The 16,801-nt window shown below is 34.0% G+C and overlaps 1 non-coding gene across 1 annotated transcript; it reads left to right on the top strand.

Annotated features, from left to right (window-relative positions):
- Positions 1-1,370: 1,370 nt before the first annotated feature.
- LOC124904364 (U7 small nuclear RNA) lies at positions 1,371-1,434 on the top strand. The gene has a single exon (XR_007066478.1). It is a non-coding gene; the product is annotated as a U7 small nuclear RNA (small nuclear RNA).
- Positions 1,435-16,801: the final 15,367 nt, after the last annotated feature.

Here is a 16,801-nt window from a genome sequence, read left to right on the forward strand (position 1 = left end):
TTGATGTTTACTTATCTAATGCAAACTAATTTCATTGTTTGTCCAAGAAAAACATGTCTAAAAAGGAAAATCTGTAATTAAAACATTCTCACAGGCATTCCAAAGTTGAATGGGAACTAAGAGCATACAATATATTGGTTTAGATGATCAGAACCATTTCCCCTTTCTATCAAGACAACTAATATAGCACTATGTTTATTTTTCTTTAGGATGTTTCAACTACCCCCAAAACTGCCAAAACCCAAAATTTATCCTGGAGTACAACAAATATTTCCACAATGTCTTCTACATCCTACTATTGTGACTGGTAATATATAAATGTAGCATACTATATATATTAGGTCATGCCCCTTTAATATGCATAATAAATAGAAAATGAGAACTTTAAAAACAAATTTTCTTTTTTGTTATTTTCTTTATTCCGGGTGTCCTGCATTTTTATGTGCCCAGTATGGCAATTCTCTTTATTTATTTTATTTATTTATTTTTTATAGAGATGTGGGTCTCCCTGTGTTGCCCAGTCTGGTCTCGAACACCTGGGCTCAAGGGATTCTCCCACCTCAGCCTCTCAAAGTGTTGGGATTACAGGCATGAACCATCATGCCCAGCTTAACCAAATTTTCAATTCACTGATTCTTTAACACTCAAAGCAACTAAAACATCAATTTATTATTATTATTATTATAAAAGTTCTTATTCCTATTTAAAGAAATACATGTTTCAGGCTGGGCACGGTGGCTTACACCTGTAGTCCCAGCAATCTGGGAGGCCAAAGAGGGCAGATCACCTGAGGTCAGGAGTTCGAGGCCAGCCTGGCCAGCATAGTGAAACCCTGTCTCTACTAAAAATACAAAATTTAGCTGGGTGTAGTGGCCCATGCCTGTAATCCCAGCTTCTAGGGAGGCTGAGGCAGGAGAATTGCTTTAGCCTGGGAGGTGGAGGTTGCAGTGAGGCGAGATCGCGTCACTGCACTCCAGCCTGGGTGACAGAGCAAGATTCTTTCTCAAAAAAACAAACAAAACAAAAACAAAGAAAGAAATACATGGTTTCTCCTGCTCTCCATGCTCCATTCTGTCCACTTGGCTGTAATTTGGAGAACAATACTAAGTAGTGGAGATAGGGGAAGAGAGAAAAGGAACAGAGGGAAGGAGACCCAGAGGAGAGAGAGCTGAAGCCGAAGTCTTTGGAGGATTTTTCAACCTGTGCCACAAAACTGCATTTGAATTTCGATGTCACTTAACCCTCAGAGTCTCAAGAAGGTAGATAACGACCAAAATCTCTATACTATGTGACTAAAACCATAGAAACGATCATTATTGCTACATTCGTGTTGTGAGCGAAGTATAAATAAGCTTAAAAACTAGCAATGCCAGTGTTACAGCTTTTTTACGATTTATCTAGCAAGTTTTCCAGTCTTTATCAGAAACCACCTCCCAATCCCCCTCAAAACAAACAAACAAATAAACAAACAACAACAACAACAGCAAAAAACTAGCAATGCCAGCTGTTCCATGAAGTCTGAAGTATGGTTTTCCTGGGTAAATGTTAAGGAATGCTGGCTCTCATTGTTTGGGATGGATGTTCACATGGGCTTTTTAGAAATCAGCTGACTGCATCATTATATGGATATACAGCTATCTTAATATCTATAAACTATGTTTGGAAAATAAATAAGTTCTTTAGTACTTATCAGAAAACAGATAACTAGAGGGACTCAGAAGACAATCTCTCTTCTGAAAGTAAATAATATTGTAGAAACACCTTCTAAAATCACCAGTTACAAGTAAAATACATTTAAATTTTGGGAGACTACTTTATTTGCTTTCCCAGTTTCTGGGCTATCAATGCTGCACTCATTATATTTAGAGCTCTTTGAGGAATCTTAAGCATGAAACATTCTCCATAAAACTAAATTCTATTCTAGCTCATTCAACCTCAAAGGTCATAGTGTGGCTTCCTTCCCTGTAATCATTGCTGTAGAGTAACACACCTGCTGCGTGGTACTGCAAGGCACAGTCTGGTAGAAAAAAAAAAAACCTGAATAACAATTCTGGGATTCATAAATGCATCCTCATGATGTTACCCTGCCACCAGAGGCACAGACAACAGAGATAACCCAGCTGGTGTGACTTACTTTCCAAGGCCATAACCCTAATGCATCCCAGTGGGGGGAAATGAAAAGAGATTTATTATTAGTTCTGAGCTAATGCTGATCAATGAGCAAAATGCCATGAAGCTGTAAGCCAAGGCAATATATGTTGTCCAAGAAAAAAATAAAGGAAAGGATGAGGGGAAAAAAAGCCTGCAATATGCAAGAGAAATACAGGGGAGAATAAAATCTCTTTTGTTATGAAACCATCCCTCATGACCACGAGTGGCGCTACACCATCTGTTCACGATACTGCGGTTCACAGTGCAAATGCCTGTCATGTACAATAAGCAGTCGAAGCATTAGGAAAAACGGACATTTCCAAGGTAATTTTGCCAATATAAAGCAAGTTTATCAGCAATCTGCAGACCTCTCTTTTACTTCACATTCACAAGCCTTCGATCTATAAGGGCAAACTCCCTATGGAGCCACATCCTGTTGCTGAGGGTGTAAAGGACAGAAATTACAGGCCTGAGGGAAGGGGTGAGACAGACATAGAGTGGCAAAAGAGAGATACAGGGAAAGTGGGTATGACCACTAGAGCCCTGTGGAAATGTATTTAATATATGGCATTCCTATTCACCTTGCTGTGAGATCAGGTTTGCATCTTAATTACCAGCTGGCATTCCCAAAATATTCTTCCACCCATGGGGGAACTGTTGTGGAAGATTTTGAGCAGTGGCAATGCTAATGACAAGAGTAAATGTCTTGGAGAGTACGAAATGTGACTGTCATGTGCAAGTGCATACAGCAGCAAGTTGAATGGCCAGGAGAAAGGTTACAACAAAGTAAAAAGTGAAGTGTTCACGGAAACAAAGAATAGGGCTGTAGGAATGCTGAGTCTGAGAAGATGAAGAAGAACAGGGAGGATGCTAGAAGCAGATCTCGACAAACGGTCTGTTCTTAGTAGAAACCCCGGGTTGCAGGGTAAACAATTTTCCACGAAGCAAGAACCAGGAAATGCACTAGATCAGAGGAAGAAGAGAAGGTATGCAAGGACATGGTCACTAACGGAGACCTTGGTAGCTAATGTGGTTCTGTTCCCTCTCACCTCCCCTTATTTTTCTTTTTCCCTGTTGAGAGGTTGCCCTAAGCAAAATAAGCTAGGAGGCTGACAGCTGATGTCAATTCACAACAGCTGGCCCGATAGCAACTATGGGTACAGGGGACAAAGAGAGAGAAATCACAGAAGGTGATCCCCTACAAAGGCACTCATACGGTGTAGTATGTTAAAACATAAACGTTGCTAGCTAATTCCAGGGTTTACTACACACATCACAAACTTGCCTAGAGGTTAAACTTATGCACTAAGATGAACAGGAGTTTGAATCCTAACTCCATCTCTCGAGAAAACTGTGGCCTTGGGCAAATTACTGAACCTGAAATATCTATACTATAAAGATAACAATAAACACCTTACAGAGATATTTTAAAAATTAAATTAAATGATCTATATAAAATTCTTACCAGAGTATGTTCATTTAGACAAATGTTTTTTCTACTAGGTCCACTGTGGGATAAACACTGCCCTAAGCACCAAGGATTTGAGACTGGACAAGAAAATCCCTGTCTTCACATTCTGATGCGGACATAAAGTTATCAGTACATAAATATTAGCTTTTATTATTATTTAATGTATCATATAAATGAGTATAATTGTTATTTTTATTATTCATTTTTTCCACAGCTATGATGAGAAGCAATGTGCTCAGTTCTATCCAAAGAAATAAAGAGGTGACTCAAACAATAAAGACAACTAAATGTTGATGTAAAAGAAAGGCAGCACAGAGGAAAGGTGGAAGGAAGGAAGGAAGGGAGGGAGGGAGAGAGGGAGGGAGGGGAGGCAGGGAGGGGAGGGGAGGAGAGGGGAGGGGAGGAAATGTGGAACTATTAGAAAAACCTTGGTGAAGAATGTGATTCTGGAGAATGTGATTCTGGAGAATGTGATTCTGGAGACTTTGAGTTCTGGGAAATAGCCTCTTGGAAGGTTGGTGAAATAAAACATGGAACATACTTGGTTGGGAGCTAAAACATGGAAACTAGATATTAGTAGTAGTGAATCTACCCCACATCAGGAATTTCCTAACTGTAGGTGAGCTTGTTAACATCTCAATTCTCTGATCTATCAAAATCAGTATGATTTGCAGTCAGTCCATTAGTTATGTGTTGATCCATTGAAACAATAGATGTAAAATGATGGTCAACATGGAAAAACTTATGTTCTAGGTAAACATAAAGTACCAATAATATTCTGGAATAGTTTTGGGTCATAGAATATTTTAATGGCACAAAATGATTTGGGAAGCTCTGGGGAAACAACTTTATTGTGGTATTATTGTCAGACCACACTGTTCTGTGAAGTGATTCTTTCTTAATCTTGGGGTAAGATTTGAGGCAGGCCCAAATTTCTATGCTCTGAAATAATCATGCATTATTGCATTTATGAGAATTTTTTTAAATACTAAGCAAACATCATAATTATGTCTTTTTTATTGCTTTTGCAAAACTATCTTTTTTTCTTTACATAAACACTATGTAATGCAGCTGGGCTGTTATTTGTATGTCATTAAATTGTATTTTCTATTAAATTATTGTTTGTTTATATCTGTTTTCCAAATTGAGATTGGTCCATTGTTTTTGGTTTGAGGCAAATGTTGTCAAGTTATAGAATCTGCCTTGTTTGCTTTTGAGAATTAATTTAAACCTCTTCATTATTTAATGTGATGAATAGTCTATATACTGTATGTAGTACCTGATTACTGGAAGTTTAGCATAATTTATCAGTAAAATCATTGGAATTTCTTAGAAGTTTTGATTAGAATAGTTCTTTAAAATTTAATTTCTTTCTCAGTCATTTTCATTTTATAATGAGAAATACATATTAATTAGTATATAATCACACATAGCATTTGCTTCATTTATCAGTTGTGCTCACTCCTAATTGCATAAAATTTTAAATAAATTGCTATAGATTATTTTATTTTGTCTTTTAAAAACTAACATTTAGATAAATTTAATTTTATTCCTGTTCTGAACTCTAACTTTTTTTTTTTTGACAGGTTCTTGCTCTGTCATCCAGGCTGGAGTACAGTGTTGCAATCACGGCTCACTGCAGCCTCAACCTCCCCAGGCTCAAGCGATCCTCCCACCTCAGCCTCCTGTAGCTGGAACTATGGCCTGTGCCACCACACTCAGCGAACTTTTGTATTTTTAGTGGAGATGGGGTTTCACAATGTTGCCCAGGTTGGTCTCAAACTCCTGGGCTCAAGCGATTCACCCACCTCTGGCTCCCAAATTGCTGGGATTACAGGTGTGAACCAATGCACCCTAATTATTTATTTTTTTAAAGTAATTTTCATTTTAAAATATATTTTATTTATTAAATAAAATAATCTATAATAATTACTTGTTTTTTATTTTAATAATGAAAATATTTAAAAGCCTTTCCTTCCATGAACAGCTTTGGCTATTGTAAATCTTTTTATATTGATTTAATTTTTATTGTTGTGACTTATAATGTAGAATTTTATCATTGTATTTCTATAACTTTTGTTGTGTATTTATTTTCAGTTTTATTTTTTGTTTGTGTATTTAAATATCGTCATCTGTTTTTAATTTCAAGCATCATGATGATTGTCTTATTTCTGCTTTTTAAACAAATAGGGCCTCACAGCTTGTGAGACAGGTCAGGATTTGGGCAATTGAAATTGGGTGTAGGAATTGAGCCACATTTGCCTGCAGGTTTCATATACTCAAAGATTTAAACAAACATACAGAACTGAAGGTAGATTCAAGATTTAGGTTCAGATAAACTGTCAAATTTTGCTGCTTTTTAATGAGAACATAGCTGTGTTTTCTAAATATCCTTATATATAAGAAAATATACAGCTTAATAAAAATATATCTGCTATTAATGTCCAATTCTATTTCACTAAAGAACTGGCTATTACCTTTAATCAGTATGGCAAAGGAAAGAAAACCTGTTGTTTTCCAGATCTTCCTGATGTCATCTTAACTTGGAATTGGTTACTCAGTTTGTATGGGAGCTGTTTTTGCATTGTTTCAAGAACTGTATTTCTGTGCTTTCCTTTTTAGAAATTTATGTGTGTTTTCAAAGTATTCTCTGCTAAGTAATGGAGCTTTTAAGTTCCACGCTCGTTTTTTTTTTTTTTTTTTTTGAGACAGAGTCTCGCTCTGTTGCCCAGGCTGGAGTACAGTGGCGCGATCTCAGCTCACTGCAAGCTCCGCCTCCCACACTCGTCTTTATTTCCACTTGTCTTCTGAACTTGAAATGGCTCTCCCTATCCTGCCTCCATTAGTAATATTTTTATTACTAAAACTTCTCTTCCAGTTTTTTATTGTTTTTTTCCTTACTGTCCAGAACTATAATGCTCATGGAAGTGTCTTCCAGCTTTATCTTCCAGGTCTCTTGCTTTTTCTCCACGATTTTTATGATTTTCATATTTCTTCACCTATTTGCTTTGCTCTTGATGTGGTTTGGCTGTTTCCACACCCAAATCTCATCTTGAATTGCATTCCTCATAATCCCGGGTGTCATAGGAGGGGCATGGTAGGAAATGATTGGATCATGGAAGCTGTTACCTCCATGCTGTTATCGTGATAGATCTCATGAGATCTTAGGATTTTATAAGGTGCTCTTACCCCTTCACTCAGCACTTCTCTTTTCTGCTGCTTTGTGAAGAAGGTGCATTGCTTCCCTTTCACCTTCCACCATGATTGTAAGTTTCTGAGGCCTCCCAAGGCTTCTTGTTAAACTGTGAGTCAATTAAACCTCTTTCCTTTATAAATTACTTAGTTGGGGGAAGTTCTTTATAGCAGTATGAAACAGACTAATACAGGGATATTTCTACTACTTGTTTTTGCACAGATCTAACTACATCTCAACAGTAATTATCCTCCCCATGCTTCAGCCACTAAATATTTTACGTGGAAAACCAAGTTTTATATTTCTCACAGAATTTTGTGCCTTGCAGAAAGATTTCTTAATTGTTCCATATAATACATATGTTCAAGTCGTTATCTCACCTATTGGTGACTGTTTTACTAGAGACCATATCTTTTGGATATACGTTAGTTCTTTTCTCTTTACACTTGGAAAATTTTTTTTAATCTGTGTTTTATTTATTTATGTATTTTCTTTACTTACCCAGTGTGGCTTAGGTGCAACTTTTGAGCCTGTAGCAAGTTCCTGAGTGGTAAATGGTAAGGTGGGTCTGCCCAAGTGGGTTATATAGTGCAAGAGCAAGACAGTCAACAGCCTATCTTTTCACCCGGTTGATGCCTTCCTCTTTCCTAGTCTTCTCTGCCTAAAGGATGGCAAATGCTGGTATGCTGCCTGCTTCAATGGCAGGAAGGACTCTTCACACATCTTTACCTAACTCACAGCTCCTAAAGAAAGAGGAACATAGATAGCTCAAATAACACTTGCTGAGCAGAAGCAGCCTCTCCTCTCCTTGCTCCACATATCTCCAGAGGCCATCTCTTCAAATTTTGAATGTTCTTCCTGAGCCTCCTTTCTGCAAATATACATAACTACTGAAATAAGCCATTAAGTTAACTAATTAAAAGAGAAAATCCTGATAGATGCTGAAAAGGCAAATAAAAAAATCAATACCATTCTAATAAAATATAGAAAGCTATAGAATTTGAATAAAATAAAATTGCTTAAAAACAATAAAATCAAAAAAACAAAAATTCACAGTAAATATTATCCTAAAGAGTGAAACAGTGATCTATTAAAATCAAGAATAAGATTGGTCTGACTTGTGTACAATGTTATTAAATGTTGACTTGGGGGAGTCTAGTAAATGTAATAAGATAAGGAAATGAAATAATTGATATAAGCATTCAAGAGGAGCATATATTTCTTTATTTTCATAATATATTTGCATTTTAAAAATACTAATATTAAGAGATGAATTTGGGAAGATTGATGAATACAAAATCAATAATTTTCCAATTATATAAATATAGATGAGTACAAATGAAGGGAATGTTTTTGTAGATAATTTGAAAAAATATGTATATTCAAGCTTAGGAAAAAAGATGGAGGGTCTAAACTGTATGATTTTTGATGGGTTAAAAATAAGATCTAAACAAATGGGAACTTAATGTTCTTTAATAAATTAACAAAATATCAAAAGAGTAAATGTTTCCGAACTTAATGCATACATATTTTATTTTATTTTGCAAATGAAAAAATGTTATTGCAATTCCTCAGAATAACCAAGAAGAGTAGAAATAATAGAACATCTGTGGAGGAATGGCCTTATCTGATATCAGAGCACACTGTAAAGCCATTGTGATCTAATCAACATGATATTGTCGTAGGTTTGGTGAATATAATCTTAGGGTTGGCATACTATGGTCATGGTCCACTTCCTGCTTTTTGCCTGTTTTTGTATGGGTTTCACATTTTTCATTGATTGAAAAACAAGTATCAGAAGAGAAATATAGCATGAAAAATAAAAATTGTATGACATTAGTATTTCAGTATTCATCAATAAAGTTTTATTGGAACACATTGTGCTCATTTATTTGTATATATCCTATGGCTCCTTTCATAATACAACATCAGAATTGAGTCTTTGTGATAAAGGCCATCTAGCACATAAAGTTTTTACTATCAGGTCCTTTACAGAAAAATATATGAGAACTGTTGGCTTAACATATAATATTCTACATATAAATATGTACATAAATATGTATATATGATATATTATTATATGAAAAAGGTAGTATAAATTATGCTGGCACAAATGATTAATCCTGAAAACAGAACAAGATGAAAATAATATGAAAATAAAACAGGTTATCCATCTCATGTCATACAGTAAACACAATTTAATGATTGGATGGATAACTGTAAAATGTAAAACAATAAAATTGTTCCAATAAGATCTGATAAAATGAGATGTAAGTAATTTTCTTAAAAAAAAAACTGCAAACCCAGAAACTAACAAAGAAAGCATATATAATATTTAACTGTGAAAATTTAAATATTATTATAAAAAGTTTAAAAGCCTGAATAGATTTCCACTTTAGGGAGATAATTCCAATGTAAGGTTTAGACAAAGTATTAGGATCTATAATATAGCTTCACTCTCAGCTATAGAATAAGAATAACATCAAGTAATATCAAGATAAAATTCATAAAGGAGCAAATCCAAATGGCAAAACAAAACAAAACAAAAGCTCAAACTCAGTGGTAGTTGGGGAAATGCAAATATAAATGTGTTATTACTTTACAACCATCAGACTGGGAAAAATTTCAAAAGAGCAATAACACTTATTGCAGGTGGGGAAAATGGCTTGTGGATATTTAAATTGAAACAGCCTTTTTGGAATGCAATCAGATAAGTATACTAAACATTTGAAAAGAATATGTTCATCAATCCTACCCCTAAGACTGTTAGAAATAATAAAAATACATCAAAAATATGTTTTAAGTTTTTAGTTGCAAAATTGTACACAGAAGAAAAAATAAGTAAAAGAAACAATCATCAATAGGTTCATGACTGGGTAAATTATGATACATATCTACTATGGAATATCACGCAACCATTAAAGAAAACAATGTTTAATATGAATAGTTTGTTTTCAGCATGCAGAATAAGGTGAATAAGGTGAATGGATATATACAGGGTTAATATGAGAAGAAAAGGGAAGGGGAAATAAAATGTTTGAAAAGGAAAACATCAACTGAAAAGATTGCCTGATATAGCTGTAATTACGCTGATGTAATTATGAATATGTGTAGGTATGAATTGAATTCAAGAAATATTATTTGATACAATTTTGTTTCTGTTTAGCTTCACATTTTTAAATGGCCTTTACCTTGTACATTATCAAATGTTTTTGATTCATGTAGGTTAAGTAAATTTATATCTGTGTCATGTGTTTCTTTTGCATTATGAAATTGTCCTTATAATATTTATATTTCTATTTTTGCTTACTCTTTTATTACATTTAATATTTACTTATTTGTTTATCTTCATGTAGCCCCATTACTTAATTTAGTGTTTGTTGTGATTAAATCTTAACTGATGCCTCTCATTTTTGTGAATTAAGTTTTCTTCACTTTCCCACTATAGTGATCACACTTGCCCTCATTTTGCTCTTACATTGAGGATAATTCTCTATGTTTAATACATTTAAGTATAAACAATGTTTGGTAAGCACATAATTATTTTATTTTTATTAGTAGTGACTCTTCCTTCCCCTTTTTTTCCTCCTCCTCATCCTCCTCTTTCTCCTCCTCCTCAATCTTTTCTTCTGGAGACCAAAATCATTATGGACTGTGCTCCATGATCTAGTGATCCATATTCCATGTCTATCCCCTTTTTTTATCTTGTTGTTCGTTTCCTCTTCTTTTTGTTTGTTTCTCTTAAAGCCTATCCTCAGTATCGCTGATTGTATTTGCTGTAATTGTAAGTCTTTCATTTATATCTGCCACTAAAAATTAGCTTCAGATACTATGTTATTCATTTTTCTGCACCACATATTTTTTTGGCCAATTATCGTGTGACAGAAGCAAGGTCTGTCAGTATATTCAAAATATATGTTATATTTTAATCTTGTTTTCTGTTTTATGAAGATTATTTTAATGTTAAATATTCCTTGGACATTTTTAGCATTTTCTTATTCTTATAATTCAAATTCTTGTAGGCCTATGCTGATATAAGTTTTCCTTTTTCATAAACAAAGAGATCTCTGGCCAGGTCCGTGTTGCATTGTAGTCCCTGGCAGTGATCATTTTCAGTCTTGAAAGCCTGTGTAGCAACAGATGCAAGAGAAATCAAAGCTCTGAACCTGGAGGCTAGAAAGGTATGCCAAGCACACTTCTCGGTAAACAGAAGATTTCTATCCAAGGTACCAGTAATATTTACTTTTAGGTAGAAATTATCAGTTTAATTTTTCCAGCTTATCCTGGTATGAGCCTGGATGAGAAAAATCTATTATGAATAAAATGCTGGTTTCTGTTGATAGAGGAGAGTTAAGACCCAAATACAACAAACCGTCTTAATAAAACTGATGCTGCCAGACATGGTGGTGGAGATACTTTTGCCTCTTTCTTCAGTGTAAAATACAGATATGACTAGAGACAAATCATACTGATTGGGCAGTTAAAGTACCTGAGCAGTGCCATTAATTTCTGGGGACCATGTCTTGTTTCGTAGTTACAAAATGGAAGTGAAGAAACAAGTTCCCTCAAGTATCTAGTTCTAAAGCCGAACCCATTAGTAAGACGTTTTTTTGAAAATCCTTAACATAAAACACACTTGTTAATTATTATTCTTAGTAGATGCAGTTGTTGCATAAAATGAGTGTTTTTCAGTGGACACAGCAAAGCCTTGTTGTTTCCAAAGTCGTATTAAACTCTCTTATTTTGTTATTCTCCTTAATTTTCTCCTCTCCTCTGATATCGTCTCCATTCACTTTGCTCTTCCCCTTGCAATTCTCTTCTCATTAGTTGCAATTAAAATGTCTCTTCATAAACAACCACAAGATGGTAGGATTTGAGTAAATTAATGGAGCAATCTGATTGGATTGCCCTACAGTATGGAGAGGAAAAAATGGGAAGAAATTGTTCACATAATTGCCCTATAGTACAGAAAGGAAAAATTTAGGGCCTCCTAAAACATCTAGATAAATGGAAATGAATGGTAGTAGTTAAAGATGGACTTCTAAGGGTGTATTTTTACGTGTTACTCTTTTAAAATTATCTTACTTTTTATTACAAAACTGATGTGAGTTATTTTACTCAATTTGGAGCATAAAGGAGGCATATAGACAATGGAAAAAAAATTCACTTGTTAGCTCACCACCTTAAAATAACCATTGTGGAAATATGCATGTATTATCTAAAATATATTTTCTTTTTCACTCTGTGTGTTTTTAAAAAGAAATTGGGGCCCCAGCAATTTGGGAGGCCAAGGTGAGTGAATCACTTGAGGTCAGGAGTTTGAGTCCAGCCTGGCCAACATGGTGAATCCCTGTATCTACTAAAAATACAAAAATTAGCCTGGCATGATGGCGGACGCCTGTAATCCCAGCTACTTGGTAGGCTGAACCGGGAGAATTGCTTCAACTCAGGAGGCAGAAATTGCAACCAGCTGAGATTGTGCCACTGCACTCCAGCCTGGGTGACTCTCTGTCTCAAAAAATAAAAAATAAAAATAAAAATAAAAGAAAAGAAATTTGGGCCAATCTTAATACACATATGGGTAACCTCTTTTCCCACGCTTAGCAATATACCAAATACTTTTTTATTTAGTTTTACATTCTGAAAAAATACTTTCAGTGCCATAATGTGAATGCAAATTTAAAACCAATCTGCTCTTATCATGTTTTTATGTTCTGTCAATTTTTATTATTAGAAATAACTCTGTGATACATTTTTGTATATAAATATTTTTTTCTAAGTATGGATTATATCCTTAGGTTAAAAATGAACTGTAGTCTTTTAACAACAACTGCCTTCAAGAATTTAGTTTTTCCTTTAAAATAGAATATGTGTGAATGTACCTCAGAGTCCTAATGTACATAAGAGTACTAATTTTCCAAAGTTAAGTCAAACATATTAACTGTTCCTATTTTTTCTATTTTCTTTAAAATTAGATACCTAAAGGAGCATAAATCAACCACTGTTAAAAATTAAGAACTTCTTGATATCTAACTTCATTTTTTGTATAATACATAAGTAATTAATTCTGTGTCTGGTGGGATCCTGCCAATAATTGCATCCAGAATATTCTGGACCAGTTAGACCTTCCTGTGTCCACAGAAAAAGACTCATTTTATGCAACAACTGTATCTAATAAAAATAATAATTAATAAAAGCATTTAATATTATATTAAAGATTTTGAAAATCCTTCTTACCAATGGGTTGGGCTTTAGAATTAGATGTTTTAGGGAACTTGTTCCTTCACTTTCATTTTGTAGGTAGAGAATATATATGGCCATTTTTTTCACCTGGTTTATGGTGCTTACAATATTATGTAATTTATCCATGTTTTCCATTATGAATGTTAAAATACCTTACTCTCATTTTCCTTAGCAAACTTGTACTCAAAAATACTCGTGGATGCAATCTTTTTAACAAGTCTAATGCAAATGGAATATTATATTTTCTGGACTTACAGCAGTGCTCATAATTTTATGAGAAAGAACAAGAAAAAGGATTATATTGTTCATCTTTGCTGTACAAAGAATGCATTTGCTTCCCAAAGCAAGGGCGTGAGACAGCATTAGAAAGAATCTCCAGTTTAATTGATCATTGAAAGTAAATATTTTTATGAGCTAAAGCTTATCTAAGTTTTCCCATGAGAAAGCCATACTAAATGTAACCTCTGACTTCCCTGAAAAGTATGCATTTAGAAAGAGACTGTATGTTTCTAGCCATGGTGTTTAATCCTGATAAAAAATAAATCCATATGTAGCCTAGAATTGACCTATCAAAATTCAATACCCTGGGAGGGTTTGAAATTGGATACTTTGTACAAGTTAAAGAACAGTGAAATTAAGGTGAAAAGCACTAGATTCAACCTAGGATTCCTGGAAGGAAGAAAAAATACAGAGCAGAAAGGAGAAAGTGAAGGAACTGAGGATGAGGGATTGGGTTGAATTGTCATTTGCTTGTACATGAAGTAATATTGCCATTATCTTTTTTACTTCTTCACCTTATTAGGTGTTTCTGCTCCCACCTCCATCCCTACCCCCATATCATGCAGGCTCTGAGATAGAGAATGGGAAGAAGGTAGTTCCTGGACCCAGGATAATCCAAGATGTAACATTTTATCTTTCTGTTATCTTCCAAAGCTATCACTTAATAATAACTTCTGTCCCTCACCACATGATTCATGCATGCCATGGTCAGCATGAATAACTAGAGAACTATCTTGCAGTAATGGTCCAAGTGTCTGGAGCTAATCAGACAGAACTCTACAAAGAGAAGTTTCAGGAAATTTCTCAAGGCATTTCAGTACATTGATGACCAACTACTAAAGAGAATTCACTGAGAGAGAAAACATCAATACTCTTCCATAGACTTTGTAATTTCCCATCAGTTTGTGTCTCTATAGATCACATTCTTTCCAGCACACTTCTGTGCTTACAAATAGACTTATTCTCATGTGTTTATTTAATGACATAAATGGATCCTTAGTAAAAGAGATGAAGAAAAAATTACATATTTCAATGACATAAACTGATCCTAAGTAAAAGAGAGGAAGAAAAAATTACATTTCTTTTTTCTTAAAGTTTCAAAAAACAGTTGTTTTTACAAAATAAAATTGTCAATTGAAAAAATATTTTCTGAACAATTATATTTCAGGCATGAACTAAAAAGTAGGAATATTAATTATCTTTCTACAAGCTCGAATAAAAGCTTTCTGCAAAAATTCAGTATAAAGAACAATTTTCTCAAATAATTTGAACTTGCTTTTAGAGACAGGGTCTTGCTCTGTTACCCAGGCTGGAGTGCAGTGGCTCAATCATGGCTGACTGCAGCCTCAAACTCCTAGGCTCAAGCAATCCTCCTGCCTCAGCCTCCCAAGTAGCTGAGCTGGGCCTACAGGTAGGCCCCACCACATCCAGCTAATTTTTAATTCTTTTGTAGAGACAGGGTAGCACTATGTTAACTAAGGCTGATCTTGAACTCCTGGCCTCAAGTGATTCTCAGGTCTAGGCCTCTCAAAATACTAGGATGATAGACATGAGCCACTGCGCCCTGTCTTGAATCTTTTAATCTTTTGCATACATACTCTCTCTTTATATGAAATAGCATGATAGTAGGGTCCTATCATTTTCTACACTGTAATCATATATTTGAGATAACAGAAATTGGAGTTTCTGCAGAATTTATAGCTTACTATGAGCTGTCAAACAACTAGGTGAAACACTGCATTCAATTTACTGTCCGTCATGTCAAACTTTGGTAAAGTCATATTGGAGGTGAGGGATATTTTTAGCCTCTGTCTTGACCTCCCAGATCTTAAGGTCCCATCAGTGTGATATGAACTTGACTATGTTTTATAAGATGTCAGACAGGGCCTGTAATATTTAACCCCTAGGCCTACCTGCCCAAGTACAAGGCAACATCCTCAACTAAGGCTCAGGACACAAACAAAAAACAACTGGATAATCTGTTTGACATCACCTGTCTTAAAACCTATGCAATATATGTAGTTATCTCCTCCAAGAATATTGGCCTTATGGGGACATGGGGGCAGGACAAACTTCACATTTGGGAGAGCACACTAATCAACAATATTGTGGAAGTCTGAACTGAGGATAGGTAAGAGATCATCCAAGAGAAACTGAAGAATATTTTCTTTGAGTCTCTCTTCAACATATTTATTAACATATGTTTATATGGCCATAGCAAGAGGAAGAAGAATCACGGTGTTGCGTTTATTAATTCTCCAGTAATCTCCAGAATAGCGTAGAAACCCTATTCACCAAAGTATTTGGGAGAGGAGTTGATTGGTTAATCAAAAACTGATTTCTTTAAATATAAAAATATATATTTATTCATTAGTTATTTATCTTTTTTTGAACCCATTAATTTGTACCCATTGAGTCTTATTTCTTTTCAATAAAAAACACATCCAAAATGTATTATCTATATGTTTTAATTTGGGCTTTAAAAGGCTGAATAGCTACATATTTCAACCTTCTTTCTGGCACACTTGATCATATGTGCAGAGAATTATCAGGTGATTGTTTAAGTTATCATCATTCATGTACTGGTGAAAATATCATATACCTATCTTTATCTATCTCTATCTGTTACTAACATAAAGAAGTAATGTAATTTGAATTTTTGTCAGTATCTGAAATCTACAGTATTTAAAAATATACTTAGTGAATCTCCTTGTGTACTTTGTATGTTACTTGAACTTATTTTATATTTATTAATGTAACTGTAAAATCCTTATAATAAATACTGATTTTGAAAAAGATCAGTTTTATGTAAAATGTTAAGAAATTTGAAATAATTAAATATGTTAATCAATTTACATTTCATATACATATTAAGAGGTTGCTTTGATTACATAATTTTAGAACAAAACATAACATCTTCTGAGCCAAAAAATTGACTATTACAAGCTAAAAAGTAATATAAAACAGAATAATCAAAATCAGATTTCATCACAATTCTGATGTTTATAAAATATTTAGCAGATTCAAAATTATGATATTAAACACTATAATCATTAAAAGTATACAAAGTTAAAATTACTTTATTATATTTAGGACATGAGTCTTTAAAAATAACGTCTTTGAAATACTTTGCGTCTTATGGAGGTTGAATGAAAGGTAGAATTTCAGTTGCACTTTCTCAAAATATCAACAAAGAGAAAAACTAAATAATTATAATGAATTATCATTGTAAGTAAATTATCCTTATAAAAATAGGAAAGAAAAAATGTTAAAAATTAGTGTAAAATTATCTACAACAAAAACTCTTACTCCTTCAGCAATATCACTTCAAATTAGGCAGGCACTTATAATTGCCATCGAAATTCAAACTTTAAAAATTTAAGAACTGTAATTTAACTAAAAATTGTAGTAATATACGATTTTGACACAATTCTAAATTTATTTTTTATATCCGATAATTATAT

This window comes from Homo sapiens, chromosome 18 (genome assembly GCF_000001405.40).
Source record: "Homo sapiens chromosome 18, GRCh38.p14 Primary Assembly".
In the NCBI taxonomy this organism is placed as follows: domain Eukaryota; kingdom Metazoa; phylum Chordata; class Mammalia; order Primates; family Hominidae; genus Homo; species Homo sapiens.